We start from the raw sequence: 19,971 nt of genomic DNA, 5'->3' as shown, positions 1-19,971 counted from the left end.
ATGTTGCCCAGGCTGGTCTTGAACTCCTGGGCCCAAGCCTTCCACAGTACAGGGATTACAGTTGTGAGCCGCTGTGCCTGGGCACACACGGTCTTGATGACAGCAATTTTATAATAAGTCTTAGAGTTGAATAGTGTCAGTCCTCCAACTTTGTTCTTCTCCTGTAATATCATGTGGGCTATTCTGGGTTGTTTGCCTCTCTGTATAAACTTTATTTATTTATTTTTTGAGATGGAGTCTCACTCTGTCACCCAGGCTGGGGCGCAGTGGTGCAATCTCAGCTCATTGCGACCTCTGCCTCCCGGATTCAAGCAAACCTCCTGCTTCGGCCTCCTGAGTAGCTGGGATTATAGGCGCCTGCTACCACGCTCGGCTAATTTTTGTATTTTTAGTAGAGATGGGGTTTCACCATGTTGGCCAGGCTGGTCTCAGGGTGAGTTCTCTTGCCATCTGAAGGGAGGACACGGCCACTGTATCCCTCTGCAGTGAGACAGCGTGTTGACAGCTCTTCCCTCTCTGTGTGAATGGAGAGCCAGAGTGAGCAACATCAGAGGAAACCTCCAGTGTGAAAGCAGAAGCCAGGAAAAGCAGAGAAGACTAAGGGAGCTGAGATACAGAGTGCAGGGACCAGAAAAAGTAATTTAAAACCCCCCATGAAAAGCAGCCCTGTATATGTAGGCTTAGAGATAAGCGTGAAGACAGGTCCCGACATGGGCATTTGGAGAAGAGGAGGGAGCCCTTGGGGGTGAAGCATACACACGTCATTGGAAGGGTTGGAGGAGCGGAGGATAGATCCTAGAACAGCGGCAACAGCAGCAAGCGTGGGACACGGAGTCCAGGAACAGACGGAGATGCAGACCAGGGTGGGGTGCAGAGTGCGCCATGAGCCAGGCTGGAAGGACGTGGTCTCTGGACCAAGGAAGACCTTGCTTGAGGCGCCTTGAGCATTTTCTAAAGTTGGGGCGAGAGAAGACCCTGAAAGCTGAGCAGGCATCCTGGGAGTGGGCTTCTTACAGAAGTGGAGGAGAGAAGAGGTGTGGTCTTCACGTGCCCCCCTTCTCAGGAAGCTGCAAGATGAGGGGGAGGGGTGCCCCGAGTGGGCTAGAGCACAGCCCCGCCAGTGCTGAGCACAAGGTGGGACTCCAGGAGCAAAAGGGCTGAAGGTGTCCTGATGTCTTTGACCAAAGGGCTTATTCCTAGGAGGTTTATAAATCTGCTGGGGAGATTGGGGCAAGAGTTTATACTAGGCAGAAACTTTGCACTTGTAAAAAGGAAGGAATTATGAACTTTGGAGAACAGACCCCACTGTGTGGCCTAACTGGAAACACTATAGTGACGTGATAATGTCAGCGATGACTTGACAAAATGTTCACACGGCCGTATTGGGAGGTGTGGGGTGGGGCTGTGTTGGCAAAGAGATACACCGTGACGTGCCTTCAAGCCAGCAGATGATGCTCAGAGGGGCGCGCTGCGGCACAGTCCAGGAGCAGCAGTGTCTGCGGGCTGTGTGCATGGGTGTAGTAAGTACCCAAGGACAGGGCTGAAGGGGTGGAAGTGGCCACTGTGGAGTGGCAGGGGTGAGGCCTCTGCACGTTTGGGAGTAGCTCAGTATTGGTTTGTAAGCCAGCACCCTGTGTGTGTCGCCGTGGTGAAATAAAATACAGCTTGTTTTAGGGGTTGAGTGAGGTCCGGCCCCAACAGTCACATGTTGAAGTCCTGACCCCCCCCAGTACTTCAGAATGTGCACTTACTTGGAAATAGGGTTGTTGCAGATGTAATGAGTTAAGATGGGGTCACACTGGAGCATGGTGGGTCCTGCCCCAAAATGACTGATATCCTTATAAAATGGGGAGACTTGCACACAGGCACACGCAGGGAGAATGCGGTGGGAAGACTGGAGTGATGCCAGAGCCGGGAGGGAGGCCTGATCAGTCCCTCCCCAGAGCCTTCAGAGGGGCATGGCCCTGCTGGCGTCTTGGTCCTGGACTCCCAGCCTCCAAGGACGGCTGGCCAGTGCGTTTCTGTCCTAAGCCACCACTTTGTGATTCTTGGTTATAGGAAGCTAATTCATGGCTCTACAAATGCTGTATCTGACTGCATGTGGATCGAATTAAATTAAAACACAGAAAAATCGAACCTGCTTTGGTGCCTTTTTGGAGGATGGAGTCCTGGAGAATGAGAGTGGCCAGAGCCGCCAGCCGAGGGCATTTTGCCGCTGTCCCGTGAGGCGGCCATCTGAGCTGAGGCACTGCCTGTGGTGGGGGCTCGTCCCTGCTGCCCCCGTGGAGCTCCAGCTCTGGGTTTGACCCTCCTAGGGGTCTGCAGGGCACTGGTGTGGCCAGATCCTGGGGAGCGAGGGGAGAAGATGGGGGAGTTGGAGGACCAGGGTGAGGATTTTGGCCTCTGTCCTAAGGGCTGAGGAGGCTGTTTCTGGGGGCCAGAGCATTGTGATCTGCTTTCCGCTGAGGTCGGGCCAAGGGTTGCCCAGTGTATGGGAATGAGTGTAGGCTGCTGCGGTCCTCCAGACCTTGAGGATCAGGCTTGAGCTGGGTGCAGAGGTGGAACGAGAGGCAGGGAAACCTCCTGGGGTTGTCGGCTAAGTCACCAGTGCAGTTACAAGGAAGGGATTTACGGTGCAGTTACAAGGAGCCTTTGGGAGCGAGGACGGCGACTTAATGCCAGAAAAGTGGAAGTGAGTTCGTTGTAGCCGTCCTCTGAAGTGAGCCCACTTAGTGTGGGGAGAAGGCATCACCTGGGCTCAGGGCAGTGCTCGTGGGCTTGGGAGGGACCACTTCCTGTTTGGAGGGGCCGGCGCCGAGAGGTCCTGGAGTAGGGGCAAGGGATGCCTGATGCCGGCTGTGCTTCCCGGAGCTCAGGTGGTATGTCCTCTTTGTTCTTGCTGGGTCCCACTCCTCACCTGTTGGTGGCAGGGACAGTGAGTTCTGGCAGCGGGAGCCAGGTTTCTCTCACTTCCCACGTCTCTTCTACATCTACCTGGAACCCAGAGGTCTCTTCCCACTTGTCCTGGCCTTTGTCTCCTTTTCCGGGACCCTCTTGTTTAGCTTTCAGTCCTGGCTTCAATGTCACTGCCTTAGAGGGGCCTCTCTGATCGCCCCTCGAAAAGGCTGTCCTGCCATGGTGGGGTCCTACGGCATCCTTCTCACTGCCACCATCCGTCACTGTTTCTGTATCTCTGGGCTTTCCCAGCTCCGGCAGGGGCTTCCTCTGGTCCTGAACTGCTCCTTCCCCAGACTTCCCTCACGCAGACTGGAGACTGGCCTCAGAACTGCCAAGGGGGAGGGACTTGCTGTCCATCATGCCTCGTGACTGGTGCTGCATCCTCATGGCTCAGTTTCTTGTAAGGGGAGACGGGCCTGACATTGTGTGTGTGGAATCGCATCCCCCAGGAGGTTATGTTCAAGTCTGCACCCCTAATACTTGCAAATGTGACTTTATTTAGAAATAGGGTCTTTGCAGATGCTATTGTAATTTTTTTTTTTTTTTGAGACAGAGTCTCACTCTGTTGCCCAAGCTGGAGTGCAGTGGCATGATCTCGGCTCACTGCAACCTCCGCCTCCTGGGTTCAAGCAATTCTCCTGCCTCAGCCTCCCAAGTAGCTGGGACCACAGGCACGTGCCACCACACCCAGCTAATTTTTTATATTTTTAGTAGAGACAGGATTTCACCGTGTTAGCCAGGATGGCCTCGATTTCCTGACCTTGTGATTTGCCTGCCTCGGCCTCCTAAAGTGCTGGGATTACAGGCGTGAGCCACCGCGCCCGGCCAGATGCTTTTGCAATTAATGTACATTAAGATGAAGTCATATGATTAGAGTCGGCTCTAACCCAATCATTGGTGTCCTTATAAGAAGAGATAGCGATACAGAGACTCTGTGGCGCTGGGGAGAAGGCCGCATGGTGACAGAGGCAGAGATTGCAGTGGTACAGCTATAAGCCAGGAACTGCCGAGGACTCCCAGAGCCCCTGGAAACTGGAGAGAGTCCTGGAACAGGTTCCCCCTCAGCCTCCAGAAGGAGGCACCTGTTGATACCTCAGTTTTGGACTTCCGGCCTCCAGAACTGTGAGAGTAAACTTTTGTTGTTTGAAGCCCACTCAGTTATGGGAGATTGTTATAACGGCCCTGCTGGCATCTTGGAAGCCAACACACGTGTCGGTGATGACCTGACTAACGCCTTCCTTCCTGCAGGAAATGCATGTTCCACACGAGGGTCTCTTCCCTGCCCAGCACTCACAATCCCCGTCGTCTCCTGGGCTCCCAGCAGGGAGCTGCTTTTGGCAGTAGGCGTGGTCCCTCCCGCGCTGCATGCGCCTCCCGCGTGCCAGAGCTGCTGCCTTGACACTGCTGGGTGCTCCGCATTGGCGCTGCTGGACACTTGCCCTGGCTGGTGCTTGGCGGGCACACTTTATCTGATTTTTTTTTGAAACGGAGTCTCGCTCGGTCACCACACTGGAGTGCAGTGGTGTGATTTCGGCTCACTGCAACCTCTGCCCCACCCGGTTCAAGTGATTCTCCTGCCTCAGCCTCCTGAGTAGCTGGGACTACAGGTGTGCGCCATCACACCCAGCTAATTTTTATATTTTTAATAGAGATGGGGTTTCACCATGTTGGCCCAGGTTGGTCTCGATCTCCTGACCTCCTGATCTACCCTCCTCGGCCTCCCAAGGTGCTGGGATTACAGGCATGAGCCACCGCGCCCAGCCTGTCTGATGTTTTAAAGTCTGTGAGTTATGAGCGTGTGACTCTTGCACACACGTCATCGTTTCTCTGTCGAGGGCGTGCAGACCCTCCAGGCGTTCACATCACACGTGACCACAGGCAGTAGTCACAGCCAGGAGTGTGGCATCAGTGTGGCATGGTGCTGGCATCTGACGGTGCTGAGGCAGATTTGGGACATGTCCTCCCTGCCGTTTTTCTGACCCAGGGTCACGTGCTGCATTGGGACCCCCTCCAGTCTGGGCAGGGCCTCGTCGAGCTCTTTCTTGACTCCATGCTTCTGAAGATCTCTGGCTGGTCATTTTGTAGAGTTGGCCTGTTTTGAGATTGTCTGACATTTCTTCAGAATTAAATAATCAGGTTCCAGGCCAGGCGTGGTGGTGATACATACCTGTAATCCCAGCACTGTGGGAGGCTGAGGTGGGTGGATCACCTGAGGTCAGGAGTTTGAGACCAGCCTGGCCAACATGGCGAAATGCTGTCTTTACTACAAATACAAAAATTAGCTGGGTGTGGTAGTGTGTGCCTGTAATCCCGGCTACTTGGCAGTCTGAGGCAGGAGAATCGCTTGAACCCGGGAGGCGGAGGTTGCAGTGAGCCGAGATCACACCACTGCACTCCAGCCTGGGCGATGGAGAAAGACTCTGCCTCAAAAAAAAAAAAAAAAAAAAAAAAAAAAGGAAATTCAGGTTCCTGTGTTTGTGTCCTGGGCACCTCACAGGAGGCTCTCGGGGTGTTCACATTGATCGCTGGGTTCAGGTGCCTTCCGGGCAAACCTGCTGTTACTGTTTTTCCTTGGTGGCTGCCGAGCATCTTTTGGGGATCACTCTGAGGCTGTGAGCTCTGTTTCTCGCCATACGTTCTCTGCGGGTCCAGCATCATGGATGCATCTTGCCTGAGACTGTTGTGTTGGGACATTGGTCAAGTGGTGATTTTAAAGCATTTCCCTCATTCTCTCTGCACTCACTAGTGGCTCCCCACCACCCCGTGAGGAGGCGCTTCCCGCCACCCCCACCTCACCTGGGTCCATGGGTTCCTGGGTTCCTGATTCCTGGGTTCGTGGGTTCGTGGGTTCCTGGGTTCCTGGGTCCATGGGTCTATGGGTTCCTGGGTTTGTGGGTCCATGGGTTCATGGGTTCCTGGGTCTGTGGGTGGCTGGTTCCTGGGTTTGTGGGTCTGTGGGTCCCTGGGTCCGTGCGTTCCTGGGTTCATGGGTTCCTGGATCTGTGGGTTCCTGGTTCCTGGGTCCGTGGGTCCGTGGGTTCTTGGGTTCCTGGGTCTGTGGGTACCTGGGTCTTTGGGTCCCTAGGTCCCTGGGTTCCTGGATCTGTGGGTTCCTGGGTTCGTGGGTTCGTGGGTTCTGGGTCTGTGGGTCCATGGGTTCCTGGGTTCTGAGGTTCATGGGTTCCTGGGTGCCTGTGTTCACTGCTGCTCGCTTTGCTCTGTGTCACAGGCAGGCTGCTGGGGAGCCATCCTCACTTCCTGTACCTCAACAGGCTCCAGCTCTTTTCCCTGCCCCAGCCCTGAAATCAGCCGTTTCTATACAGACTGTGAGGCCTGTTTTTAAAATAAAATCCTAGTTATTATTTTTTCAAGTTATAGTGTGGCTGCTGTTGCCTTTCTAGGGTTGTGTGTGTGCTTTGTGCAATCAGGAGGGTTTGGAAGGTGGGTGTGCAGCCCCTCGTGGTGCACGGTGTGAAGGGAGCTGGCCCCTCACCTTGCAGGAGTGGTTGGTGGGATTAGGGAGGGAGGCTGGCTTGTCAGCCATAGAGCCCCATCCTGTGAGGGCTCTGAGGCTGGGAGAGAGGTGAGTCCGGGCCGTGGCTGTGAGCTGGTGGCTCTGACGCTGGGACAGAGGTGAGTCCCGGCTGTGGCTGTGGCTGTGAGCTGGTGGCTCTGACGCTGGGACAGAGGTGAGTCCGGGCCGTGGCTGTGGCTGTGAGCTGGGGGCTCTGACGCTGGGACAGAGGTGAGTCCCGGCTGTGGCTGTGGCTGTGAGCTGGTGGCTCTGACGCTGGGACAGAGGTGAGTCCGGGCCGTGGCTGTGAGCTGGTGGCTCTGACGCTGGGACAGAGGTGAGTCCGGGCCGTGGCTGTGAGCTGGGGGCTCTGACGCTGGGACAGAGGTGAGTCCGGGCCGTGGCTGTGGCTGTGAGCTGGTGGCTCTGACGCTGGGACAGAGGTGAGTCCGGGCTGTGGCTGTGGCTGTGAGCTGGGGGCTCTGACGGTGGGACAGAGGTGAGTCCGGGCTGTGGCTGTGAGCTGGTGGCTCTGACGCTGGGACAGAGGTGAGTCCGGGCCATGGCTGTGGCTGTGAGCTGGTGGCTCTGACGCTGGGACAGAGGTGAGTCCGGGCCGTGGCTGTGGCTGTGAGCTGGTGGCTCTGACGCTGGGACAGAGGTGAGTCCGGGCCGTGGCTGTGAGCTGTTGGCTCTGACGCTGGGACAGAGGTGAGTCCGGGCCGTGGCTGTGGCTGTGAGCTGGGGGCTCTGACGCTGGGACAGAGGTGAGTCCCGGCTGTGGCTGTGAGCTGGGGGCTCTGACGCTGGGACAGAGGTGAGTCTGGGCTGTGGCTGTGAGCTGGCACCCCAGTTACTGGTGGTTTTTCCCCAGCTGACATCGACCAGCGTGGGGTGTGCAGTGTGGCTGGCTCTGATTTGTGCTCCTTAGTTTGAGACAATTTGAATGGAGCCACTGCTGTGGAGAGGCCTCCTTCTGAAGCATCACAAGTGGGCCCGGCTGACCCTAGCCCAGTGCACGACACCCCTCTTGGAGTCTGGGGTTCTTGGCTGTGGGCTGGAGATGACAGTGGTGGCTGCCGAGGGTGGTGGGAGTGGTCAGTGCTGAGCACGCGATTTCAGATCCAGTGAGCCAGGCGGGCACAGCCTTTAGCTGATGTGGTGTGTCCCCTGGCCTGGAACAGCCCCATGGGTGGGTGGCACCCGTCAGGACCTGTGCACAGACCCTGCCTGGGTTTGGTCTGCCCAGTCCCCTGGACCTGGCAGCAGCGGGGCTGTGCCTGGTGACGGGAAGGCTCTGAGCCAGGCTGGGTGGCCCACTGTGCGCGTCGCTGCTGTGTTGGTGGTGGCGCCTTTGCCCTGGCCCTCATTCAGGAAGATGCTGGCTTTTGGGCTCTAGGGAAGTGCATGTTGGTTTCTGTCGAGAGCGGTTGTGTGTGTACATTTTAAGCGTGGAACGCAGGTATCGAACCGTGTTGAAACCTTTCCAGCATTGGCAGAAGTGTGCGTGTGAGTCTCCTTTGCCCTTTTACTTTACTGGCAGGTGTAGTGAACTTGGATGCCGCCTGCCTTCCTAGCATGGCCCACGTGGCCGGGCGGTCCTTCTGATGGGGCGGCTCACGTGGCTCCCACGTGCCAGGCTTTTGGGGCAGATGCTCCTGAGCGGTGCTGCCTACGGGTTGCCTTCATTGGTGGTGGTGAGGCCTGGGCTTTGGCGTCCTGTCCGCCCTTAATCCTTGCCTAGGAGCAGTCTGTGGGCCCCAGAAGACTGGCCGGAAACTGAAGCCGGGCGGCAGCTGAGGACGCACACCCTGGAGGTTGTGTGGACGTTCCGTCACTGCTGTCTTAATTCCCAGGCACTCTTCTTTTTCTCTGGAAGTTCCTTTTTGAGGGTGTCCTGGTGTTCATGGAGGTGCCGTATCACTCCGAGGGCAGAGGGCTGCTGCTGAGGAAGGCCTTGCCCTCTCACCTAGCACTCTTCTCCAAGTTGCTGGTTTTGCTTGTTTGCACCTTGTCTGTTTTGGCCTCTGTTGGGTCTGAACTAGGTGTCCTTGGCAGCTGCTCACACCCAACAGTGGGACCCTGAGAAGGGTCAAAGCCGGGGCAGTTTGGGGACACGCTGGGTGCAGGGCCACCTTGCTGGGCACCTCGGCTGGTTGGTGTCTGTTGGGAGCAGCCCTGGGGCCGCCCCGCAGCCTCTGCCTGCAGTACAGACGGATCTGCCCACTCCTGAGGCTGGAGAGCTCAGAGCCTGAAAGACCCCCTGAGCCCTCGCCCTTCCTCCGCCGGCCCCTTGCTGTCAGCACGCCAGGTGCAGACCCTGGCAGGCTTCCTGTGCCCCAGCTTCAGTGTGGAGCGCTTGCCTAGCTGGCTGGCATGGGAGCGGGAGGGGTGTTTGGCCACTTGGAGCAGAAGGGGGTGGGTAGTCAGAGTTTCTGTGTTCCTGGCTTGATATTGGCTTTCCAGCAGCTTCCCAGCTTCCAGAATGTCCTTGCCATCATCTCCCATCCTGTTTCCTCTTTTTTGGAGCAGAGGCCTGGGGTGGCCTATCTTCTTCTTTCAGTTGAGGCTTCCGGGGCGGGTGGGTCTAATGTGTGTCTTTGCCTTTAGCCAGAAGACCACCGTGATTAGATTTTCCAGAAGAGAACTCGCGTGGTAGTTTTGAAAATGGGAGGGTGTTTGTGAGGTGGGATATCAGAAATACTTTATACAGAGGGGACCCAACATGTAGCAGAAACATCAACAAAATGGTTTTGCGTATAATCACATGATGATTTCTCTCTTCTGAGAAACAGGCACAAATCCTGAAGAGCCCGTGGGCGTGGACTGCTCATCTGTAAAGAAAGTGGAGACATGACCTTGAGATTTGGCTGACCCAGCAATGCTGGGGCCTTCGCAAGTCTGATGTTCCAGGACTCCAGTGCCTGTTGGTGTGGACGGAGGACACGGGGCCCCGACCATGGTCACACTCATCACTGAGAAGCTGCAGAGCCAGAGCCTGGACGACCTCACCTGCAAGGCGGAGGCTGGCCCGGTAAGCAGCTGCAGGTGGCACCAGGCTGGGTGCCCCTCCCCCGTGCTGTCACAGGGGAATGGCCACACTGGGAGGTGGAGGTGAGGGCTAAGTTCTCAGGGGCCTGGGGGGCCCTGCTGGGCCAGGGATGGGGGTGTCTGGTGCACATGTGGGCCCCAGAGCCCATCAGTGTAATCACAGCGGATTTTCACCATCATTGAAAAAAAAATAGACTTATTAAAAATGCCAGCTGGGCGTGGTGGCTCATGCCTGTAATCCCAGCACTTTGGGAGGCCAAGGCGGTCAGATCACTTGAGGTCAGGAGTTCGTAACCAGCCTGGCCAACATGTTGAAACCCCGTCTCTACTAAAAATACAAAAATTAGCCGGGCACGGTAGCAGGCGCCTGTAGTCCCAGCTGCTCGGGAGGCTGAGGCAGGAGAATGGCATGCACCCGGGAGGCGGAGCTTGCAGTGAGCCGAGATCGCTCCACTGCACTCCAGCCTGGGACAGAGCGAGACTCCGTCTCAAAAAAAAAAAGAGCCTTGACTTGCTATTTAAAAAAATAGAGTTTTACTGAAAGGCTGACTTACACACAGAAGCTGGAGCCCCAAGCGCAGGTGTGCCTGTTACCATCCAATCAAGCAGCAGACTGCACCCCGCCAGGCTCCCTGTCCCTCCCCTCCTAGCCGCGCCTCCCAAGGGAGCCTCTGTCTTGGATTTGATCACCACGTTAGCTTCCTGCGGGCAGCTTGATTTTCCTACAGTCATGGTGAAGTGAACTTTGGATGTGCCACCTTCAGGACCCCCCCGCCCTAGTTAGATGGCAGATCCAGAAGGAGGTGGCTGATGTCTAGCCTGGAGGGTCTTGCCAGGCCCTCAGAGCCAGCAGGGGTGCTTGGAGCGCCTGCCTATCCTGGGCCTGGCTTGGCTGTGGCTCTGGAGACGTGGGCACGTTGCATTTGTAGCCCCTTGCGTGTTACGGAAATGAGAGGGTGAAGGGAAAGCTGTGGGTCTCGGGCCTTTGGACTGGGCACGTGTGACCCATCTTCACCGCAGGGGGTTCCAGTGAGGGTCTGAGGGTCCAAGCTGAAGCCTCTCCTCCCGAGAGCTGGCGAGTGTGGGTGTTGGGCTGTGGGAGGTGGCATGTGGCCTGAACCTTCGCAAGCACTGCTTGTGGGGCCTGGCACTCAGGGCCGCTGTGACTGAGGTGACCGTGGCAGCGCTGGCTGTGTCCTGTAATTAGTACGTTTCCGGCTGTCAGTCCACGGGTGGAGGTGGCCGAGGCGGGGAAGGCAGTGCTTGCCTGATGTCTCAGTGCCTTGCTGGCTGCAGAGCCATGTTCTTTCCAGATGCTGTGGCCGGTTCTCATTTTTTCTTTTTTTTTCTGGAGACAGAGTCTTGCTTTGTCATCCATGCTGGAGTGTAGTGGCACCATCTCAGCTCACTGCAACCTCCGTCTCCCGGGTTCAAGTGATTCTCGTGCCTCAGCCTCCCGAGTAGCTAACGTTACAGGCACACGCCACCACACCCGGCTAAATTTTGTATTTTTTTTTTTTTTGAGATGGAGTCTTGCTCTGTCGCCCAGGCTGGAGTGCAATGGCACAATCTCGGCTCACTGCAACCTCCACCTCCCAGGTTCAAGCAATTCTCCCGCCTCAGCCTCCTGAGTAGCTAGGATTACAGGTGCACGCCACCAGGCCTGGCTAATTTTTGTATTTTTAGTAGAGACAGGGTTTCACCATGTTGGTCAGGCTGGTCTCAAGCTCCTGACCTCATGATCTGCCTGCCTCGGCCTCCCAAAGTCCTGGGATTACAGGCGTGAGCCACCACACCCAGCCTAAATTTTGTATTTTTAGTAGAGACGGGGTTTCACCATGTTGGCCATGTTGGCGAGGCTGGTCAGTGATCCGCCCACCTCAGCCTTGCAGAGTGTTGGGATTACAGGCGTGAGCCACTGCGCCTGGCCCCATTTTTCCTTTTGATTAAATGGAGAAAACATTTTTAAGGTGTCTCTAACCAAGACCAAAGGATACAGAGCGGCACATGCCTATCAGATGGCTGTGTGCCTCTGAGGACATTTTTGGCAAGTGGACGTCAGCCAGGGCGTGCGCAGCTTTCCAGGGAGGTGGCTACGCAGCATGCCTGCCGGGCCTGGGAGGTGTCTGGACGGATGTCCTGGTGTGGGGTGACCCACGGGCCCCCACGACCTCTGTGCTTTAGGTGGCCACTCTTCACCTCTTTTTTTTTCAGCTTTTATTTTAGATACAGGGGGGTACAGGTGCAGGTTTTATTTTAGATACAGGGGGTGCAGGTGCAGGTTTTATTTTAGATACAGGGGGTGCAGGTGCAGGTTTTATTTTAGATACAGGGGGTGCAGGTGCAGGTTTTATTTTAGATACAGGGGGTGCAGGTTTTATTTTAGATACAGGGTGTGCAGGTGCAGGCTTTATTTTAGATACAGGGGGTGCAGGTGCAGGTTTTATTTTAGATACAGGGTGTGCAGGTGCAGGTTTTATTTTAGATACAGGGGGTGCAGGTGCAGGTTTTATTTTAGATACAGGGGTGCAGGTGCAGGTTTTATTTTAGATACAGGGGGTGCAGGTGCAGGTTTTATTTTAGATACAGGGGGTGCAGGTGCAGATTTTATTTTAGATACAGGGGGTGCAGGTGCAGGTTTTATTTTAGATACAGGGGGTGCAGGTGCAGGTTTTATTTTAGATATGGGGGTGCAGGTGCAGGTTTTATTTTAGATACAGGGGGTGCAGGTGCAGGTTTGTCACTTGGCTATATTGCACTCGGGTTGTGAGCACAGTACCCAGTAGGTAGCTCTTCAGCCCCTGCCTCCTCCCTCCCTCCCATTCTTCATCTCTTTGTGGAGCACTTGTCCATTGACAGAGAAGGCAGCATAGGCAGTTCCTTGGTAGGCCTCGGCCTTGGGACAGGAGCCCTGGGAGCCCTACAGGGTGAGTGGTCACGGGGGTTCCATCACAGCCTGCTCCTGCTCCTGCTGACCCTGCCGGCTCTGTTAGTGGCCAGCCAGGGCCACTGTTGAGTCTGTTGCTGTCGAAGATGGTTTTTCCCAATGACTCCTGTTTTCTTAAAACACGGCCTGTGAATATGGCGGTGGTTTCTATCTGAAAAAGGAGGACAAACCTTTTTATCCCTAAATGTAAGTCTTTTTACTTTTTTTTTTTTTTTGAGATGGAGTCTTGCCCTGTTGCCGAGGCTGGAGTGCAGTGGAGTGATCGCACGTCATTGCAACTCCGCTTCCAGGGCTCAAGCGATTCTCTCGCCTCAGCCTCCCGAGTAGCTGGGACTACAGGGGTGTGCCACCATGCCCAACCTATTTTTTAATTTTTTTTTTTAAAGTGATGGAGTCTTGCTCTGTCACCCAGGCTGGAGTGCAGTGGTGCAGTCTCGGCTCACTGCAACCTCTGCCTCCCGCATTCAAGCAATTCTCTTGCCTCAGTCTCCTGAGTAGGTGGGACTACAGGCATGCGCCACCACGCCCGGCTAATTTTTTTTGTATTTTTAATAGAGATGGGGTTTCACCATGTTGGCCAGGCTGGTCTTGAACTCCTGACCTCAAGTGATCCACCCACCTCAGCCTCCCAAAGTGCTGGGATTACAGGCATGAGCCACCATGCCCAGCCTTTATCAGGATTTTTTAAAAAATTATTTTTCATTTATTTATTTATTTTATCTTTTAGACAAGAGTCTCACTCTGTTGCCCAGGCTGGAATGCAGTGGTGCGATCCTGGCTCACTGTAACCCCCGCCTCCTGGGTTCAAGCGATTCCCCTGCCTCAGCCTCCTCAGTAGTTGGGATTACAGGCACATGCCACCAAGCCCAGCTAATTTTTGTATTTTTAGTAGAGACAGGGTTTCACCATGTTGGTCAGGCTGGTCTTGAACTCCTAACCTCAGGTGATCCACCCGCTTCAGGCTCCCAAAGTGCTGGGATTACAGGCCTGAGCCACCGTGCCTGGCCAGGATTTTTAATCTGTGTAATTCGGACAGTGTGATTGCCTGTGTTGAGGAAACCCAGTTACTCAGTGATAGATTGTTTACACGTGAGACCAGCTCTCCCATGTCAACTGAATATCTAAACACAAGTTACTTCTAACATTCAAGGAAACAAGTCAGTATTTTAAATAGCCAATTCATTGTATAAAAATAGAAACTGATGTTTTCAAAGGTGACTTAAAATAGTATTTTTATGAAAAATAAGTGTAGACAGTTCTAGAGAGTAGCAACTCGTACATTCATGTATGAGGTTCTGTGTGGAAGTATGTCTTCATACATACCCATGGCCCGGCCTCAGTGAGCAAGCGAGGCGGGCGCTGTTAGCTCAGGGCTCCTTGTTTGATCTGCGCCTTTACCCAGTCCCTTCCTGCCATGATTTCATAGCGCATTCTAGACATACTTTCTCTGTAAATATCTCACTCTGTATCTCCAAAAGATAAAGACTTTAAGACACATGACCAGAATGTCATTTTCACACCTAAAACTCTCAGAGATTCCTTAATATCTCTATCCGGTCAGCATTCAAACTTCTCCAATTGTCTGAGTTTAAGAATTTGTTCAGGGAGTCCAGATTCAGGGTGTCTCATGTCCCTTTTCCCCATAGGGTGCTCCTTGGAGCTTGTGTGTTGAGGACCCAGCTGCTTGTCCCGGAGTGTCCAGGCTGCATGCCCCGGCTGCCGCCTCGTGCGCTCCCCTCCCATGTGTGTTCTGGGAGTTGCTGGTTGGAGTGAGCACTGCCCTGCCCCTTATGGTTTCCTCTAGTTGCACATAGATTTTTAAACTGAAATTAAAGTTGATTTAGCTTTTTTTTTTTTTTTTTAAAGACAGGGTCTCACTAATTTGTGAATGTTTTTGGTAGAGACGGGGTCTTGCTGTGTTGCCCAGGCTAGTCTCTAACTCCTGGCCTCAAGTGACCCTCCTTATGCGGCCTCCCAAAGTGCTGAGATTGCAGGTGTGAGCCACTGCGCCCAGCCTACAGTTAAAGTGGAACCCACATAATGCTGTTTCTCACTTGTACCAGAAACACTTCTAGTGCTCACTGTCTCTGGGTGGCTGGTGGCTGCCGTGGTGGACAGCCTGTTGGCTGTCCCTCACCACAGAATGTTCTCGCAGGCAGTGCTGTGAGGCTCGAAGCTCGATCAGGTTCGTGTTTGAGAGACCACCATTTGCTCATCCGTTCCTCTGTTTTTGGACCTTTGGGTGGTTGCCATATTTTAGCTATTAGGGATAATGCAGCTGTGAACATTCATGTGTGAGTTTCTGTGTGGAAGTTTCATGTATGAGTTTCTGTGTGGAAGTAGGTCTTCATTTCTTTTGGGTGCAAACCTAGTCGTGGGATTGCCAGGTCATATGGTGATTCTATGTTTAACATTTTGAGGAACTGCCAAACTGTTTTCCACAGTGTCTGTACCATGTTCCGTTCTGCAGCAATGTATGAGAGTTCTAATTTCTCCAACTCTTTTTTTCTTGAGGCAGAGTCTGGCTCTTTCGCCCAGGCTGGAGTGCAGTGGCGCGATCTCGGCTCACTCTGCCTCCCAGGTTCACGCCATTCTCACGCCTCAGCCTCCCAAGTAGCTGGGACTACAGGCGCATGCCACCACTCCCAGCTAATTTTTTGTATTTTTTTTTTAGTAGAGCCGGGGTTTCACCGTGTTGGCAAGGATGGTCTCAATCTCCTGACCTCGTGATCCGCCTGCCTCGGCCCCCCAGAGTGGTGGGATTACAGGCATGAGCCACTGTGCCTGGCCCTAATTTCTCCAACTCTCATCAACGCGTGTTATTGTCCATTTTTTTGATAAAAGCCACCTGCATGGGTGTGGAGTGGTATCTCATTGTGGTTCTGATTTTCATTTCCCTATGGTTAGCTATGTTGAGCATATTTTCATGTGCTCATTGGCCATTTGTATCTCTTCTTTTGAGAAATATCTAATGAAATCCCATTTTTACTTTAAAATTGGGTTATTTCTCTTTTTATTTTTGAGTTGTAAGAACCCTTTTTTTTTTTTTTTTTGAGACAGGGCCTTGCTTTGTTGCCCAGGCTGGAGTGCAGGGTCTCAATCACTGCTCACTGCAGCCTCGACCTCCTGGGCTCAAGTGATCCTCCTCCCTCAGCCTTCTGAGTAGCTAGGACTACAGACATGTGTGACCACACCCAGCTTTTTTTTTTTTTTTTTTTTTTTTGTGATGGAATCTTGCCCTTGTTGCTAAGGCTGGAGTGCAGTGGTGCGATCTTGGCTCACTGCAACCTCCACCTCCTGGGTTCGAGAGAGTCTTCTGCCTCAGCCTCCTGAGTAGCTGGGATTACAGGCATCCACCATCACGCCCGGCTAATTTTTATATTTTTAGTAGAGATGGAATTTCACCATGTTGGCCAGGCTGGTCTTGAACTCCTGACTTTGTGATCCGCCTGCCTTGGCCTCCCAAAATGCTGGGATTACAGGTTACAGCCACCACGCCCACCCCACACCCAGCTATTTTTTAAAAATTTATATCTTTTAGAAAGGGGGTCTCACTGTGTTTCCCAGGCTGGTTTCCACCTCTTGTGCTCAATGGGTCCTCCCGCCTCAGCCTCCCAAAATGCAGGGATTACAGGTGTGAGCCATGACACCTGGCCAGTAAGAGTTCTTTATGGTTTCTTCCCCCGTTCTGTCATTCTGTCATCTCGAGAGTGGTGTGTAAATGGAGTGACACAGTGCACAAGCATTTGGGTTCTGCCTTTCCATCAGCATGCTTCCCTGGAGATCCGTCCGGCGGTTCCTCTGCGCCACCAAGAGGTGCTCCGTGGCATGGAGGTGCACTCTGTGTAACCATGTGGAGGAATGCTGCGTCCTAATGCAAATCATGACGTGATTTTTAGGGTTGTGTCCTCATGGGGGACCTACACAGACGACCAGTAACCACAGGCATGAGGCGGTGGGAGGGGAGTGGGCACGGGTGCCTCGCTGAGCTGCCGGAGCAGCAAAGAGGGTTGGAGGTGTAATGGTGGCTGAGTGCTGGAAGATGGGCGGGGTCTTAATGTTGGGGTGGGCAAAGGCCATTGGGGCCACAGGGAGGGGGACGTGGATGGGTGGGTGGGGCCAGCATCTCACTGTGCTCTGGCTGGGGCTTCCCCAGAGAGCCCGGGACAGCAGCCAGGAGGCGGTAGGGCCTGAAGGTCACGTGTGAAGGTCATTCAGCGCGTTGGGGCGTCTGTGCTGCACTGGCTGTGCTGGGTTAGCAATATGGTGCTCACTTCCTGCAGGGAGGCGGGTGGGAAGCAGGTGACTGAGGAGTCGCGATAGTGCATCAGGAAAAAAGTAGAGCCCAAGGGGTGCTGGGAGTTTACATAGGGCGCCGGGCTGTGACCTCCGGGTGGAGCTGGAAGGTGGGTGATGAGCCATATGGACATCTGGGGAGTCAGCCAGGTGGAGGTTCCCATGGCCGTGGGAGCCTGTGAGGGTGGGAGCCTGGGGGCACAGGCATCTGGGATCTGACTCTCAGGAGTCCAGAGGGCAGAGTAGAGGGCCGCGGCAGCCAGGACCAGAGCAGCAGTTCCCGGGCTGAGGGGCGGAGAGCAGGGAGAGCTGAGAATGTCAGGGTAGGGGAGAGAGGAGGCGGTGTGATGGGGCTGTGCTGGGGGCTGTAGGCGCAGGGAAGCTCACTGTGCCGCTGGCCTGGCGGGCACGGTATGGGTGGGTGGCGGGCTGTGGTGTCCTCCAGCCCTGTGCAGCTGTGCAGATACAGGCTGGGATTGATTGGTAGAGAGCTGGTTTTTAAAAAACTTTTAGTTTTTTTTTTTTTGAGATGGAGTCTGGCTCTGTCACCCAGGCTGGAGTGCAGAGGCGTGATCTCCGCTCACTGCAAGCTCTGCCTCACGCCATTCTCCTGCCTCGGCCTCCTGAGTAGCTGGGACTACAGGCACTCGCCACCACGCCTGGCTAATTTTTTTGTATTTTTAGTAGAGATGGGGTTTCACCGTGTTAGCCAGGATGGTCTCGATCTCCTGATCTTGTCACCTGCCTGTGTCGGCCTCCCAAAGAGCTGGGATTACAGGCGTGAGCCACCGTGCCCAGCCTAAAAACTTTTAGGTTTTTAAAGACAGGGTCTTGCTGTGTTGCCCAGGCTGGAGCGCAGTGCACTCAGTCGTTCGCTGCAGCCTTGGCCTCCCTAGCCCAAGCAATCCTCCCACCTCAGCCTCTTGAGTAGCTGGAATGACAGGCTCATGCCATCATATCTGCTTTTTTTTTTGTAGAGACCAGGTTTCCCTGTGTTGCCCAGGCTGTTCTCAAACTCCTGGGCTCAAGTGATCTTCCCACCTCAGCCCCCACAGTGCTGGGATTTCCCGGATTTCCCTGTGTCCGGCCCTGAAGTACAGATTTCGTTTTTTTCTTCTTTTTCTGCACGGAGTCTTGCTCTTGTTGCCCAGGCTGGAGTGCAGTGGTGTGATCTCGGCTCACTGCAGCCTCTGCCTCCCGGGTTCACGCGATTCCCCTGCCTCAGCCTCCCAAGTAGCTGGGATTACAGGCACCCACCACCACACCCAGCTAATTTTTGTATTTTTAGTAAAGACAGGGTTTCACCATGTTGGCCACGCTGGTCTCAAACTCCTGAGCTCAAGCGATCCTCCCGCCGTGCTGGGATTCAGGTGTGTGCCCCCGTGCCCAGCCCTGAAGTCCAGATTTCCTTAGGCTTAAGGGTTGCATGTTCACATTCCCCGAAACCCATATGTTGAAGTCCTCACCCTCAAGGTGACGGGATGAATATTTGGAGGTGGGGCCTCTGGGAGGTGCTTAGGTCATGGCGGCAGTGCCCTCATGAATGGAATTAAGTGCGCATATGTGAGAGGCATCAGAGAGGAAGCCAGCCCCTTCGACCATGCATAGATACAACCGGAAGAGCCGTCTGTGAACCAGGAGGTGGCCTTACCAGACACTGAATCTGCCTGTCCCTTGATCTTGGACTTCTGCCTCCAGGACTGTGAGGAATAAGTGTTTTTGACAAGCCCCCTGCCTGAGCCTGTGGGACCTGGCTGCCCAGCCTTTCCTGTCTCCCGGGGACCCTGGCTCTGTTTGTCTGCTGCACCCACATCCCACACGGCCAGTGCCACTGGGAGTAGCTGCTGCCCCCGGCGTGTCTTTGCATAGAGGTGGTCACATTTGGGACCGTGCGGGCCTGTGGCTCCTTCAAGCTGCCCGTGAGAGCCATCTGTGCCGGCTGGGAAAGTCCTTTCCTTGCTAGACGTTTTTCCGTGGCAGCGTCGAGCTGGGTGCTGTTCATGTGGCCCCGGGGAACGGGTGCTGTGCGGAACAGGAGGAGAGCGAGGTCCTGGTGCTTGCTGCGGGGAGGCCCGGGGCTGGGAGGATCGACAGCAACAAGGGTCCCTGTGGCGTGAAAGCCTTCAAGTCCTTTAGCAGAGCTGCCTCTCCTCTCTTCCATCGGACCCGGGTCCCGGGGTGGGAGAACCTGGAGGTCGTGTGGTTCCCGGGCCCGCACCAGGCCCTGTCCTCATGGTGTGGCCGGGTGCTCACAGCTCCACACCGCCGTGCTGGCTGAGGTGGGACCCCGTGTGTAGGCGGCCTGTCTTTTTTCGGGGTCACAAACCCAACTTTTAACTTATTCCCTTTACAGGAAGCAGTGAAGGATTTCCTTTTAATTTTATCGTGTTTGGAAATGTTATCATAGGACGTGATGCCATGGGCTTAGGCGTTAACTGAGAGGTTCTGAGGTGTGGCAGAGGAGCCCCACAACTCTAAGGCAAAAAAGCAGAGGGGCTGCTGTGCCCGGACCCTGCGGGACAGCCGTGTCCTTGTCACAGGGTGGCCTTCTGTGTTCTCACAGACGAGGAAGCTCTGGGAGGTTAGGGAGCTTGCCGGGCACCCGGCAGGACCCCCCTCCTGTGCCCCATCCTCTGCAGGGCCCTGTGTCCCGCCTGCACGGGCCAGTGCGTGGAAGCAGACACATTAATGGCCTCCAAGCCGTGACCTGCCAAGCAGCTCCCTGACACTTCATGGGGTAGGGAAGAGAGCCCTGTGGCATTTCCCTTAGTGCCCTCCCTATAGACCCTCCAGCTGCCACCACGCCCTGTGGCTTTCCTGCTTCCAGGGAGGGAGACCCTGCCCTCTGGACGTCTCCCTGGACCAGCACCACACTCCAGAGCCTGGCTTAGGCGCTCAGGTCCCGTGTCTGAGCTGTTGCAGGTGGGAAAGGGCCCCTTGGGTCTTGGCTGAAGTTCTTGCTGAAAAGTAAGTAAGTGGTGAGGTTTGCAAAGACGGCTGCAGCTGAGGCTGCCGAAAGGCAGGAGGGCCTGAGCTTCAGGAGCAGGGACAGGATGCATGCCTGTGGCTTGGAATAAAAATGTCTGAGGCCGGGCGTGGTGGCTCACACCTGTAATTCCAGCACTTTGTGAGGCTGAGGCGGGAAGATCACGAGGTGAAGAGATCGAGACCATCCTGGCTGACACGGTGAAACCCTGTCTCTACG

At 54.8% G+C, this 19,971-nt stretch overlaps 1 protein-coding gene across 26 annotated transcripts in view; it reads left to right on the top strand.

Moving 5' to 3' along the window:
* FAM53A (family with sequence similarity 53 member A) overlaps positions 1–19,971 on the top strand; it is a 111,956-nt gene that overhangs the window by 7,845 nt on the left and 84,140 nt on the right. For 16 of the 26 annotated variants that reach the window (XR_007096374.1, XR_924913.4, XM_047449667.1 and 13 more), the window contains exon 2: positions 9,268–9,506. Coding sequence is in view for 24 of the 26 variants with exons in the window: in XM_047449667.1 (XP_047305623.1) it covers positions 9,432–9,506 (75 nt within the window). In the remaining 2 variants the exon portion in view is untranslated. Of the gene's footprint in view, positions 1–366; positions 1,521–5,859; positions 9,507–19,971 lie in introns of those variants that run through there. The other 10 variants (XM_047449669.1, XM_047449671.1, XM_047449655.1 and 7 more) reach the window with 4 other exon arrangements.

This window comes from Homo sapiens, chromosome 4 (genome assembly GCF_000001405.40).
Source record: "Homo sapiens chromosome 4, GRCh38.p14 Primary Assembly".
Classification (NCBI taxonomy): Eukaryota; Metazoa; Chordata; class Mammalia; order Primates; family Hominidae; genus Homo; species Homo sapiens.
Note: the sequence above shows the minus strand (reverse complement) of the source record. Positions and strands in the feature narration are given on the sequence as shown.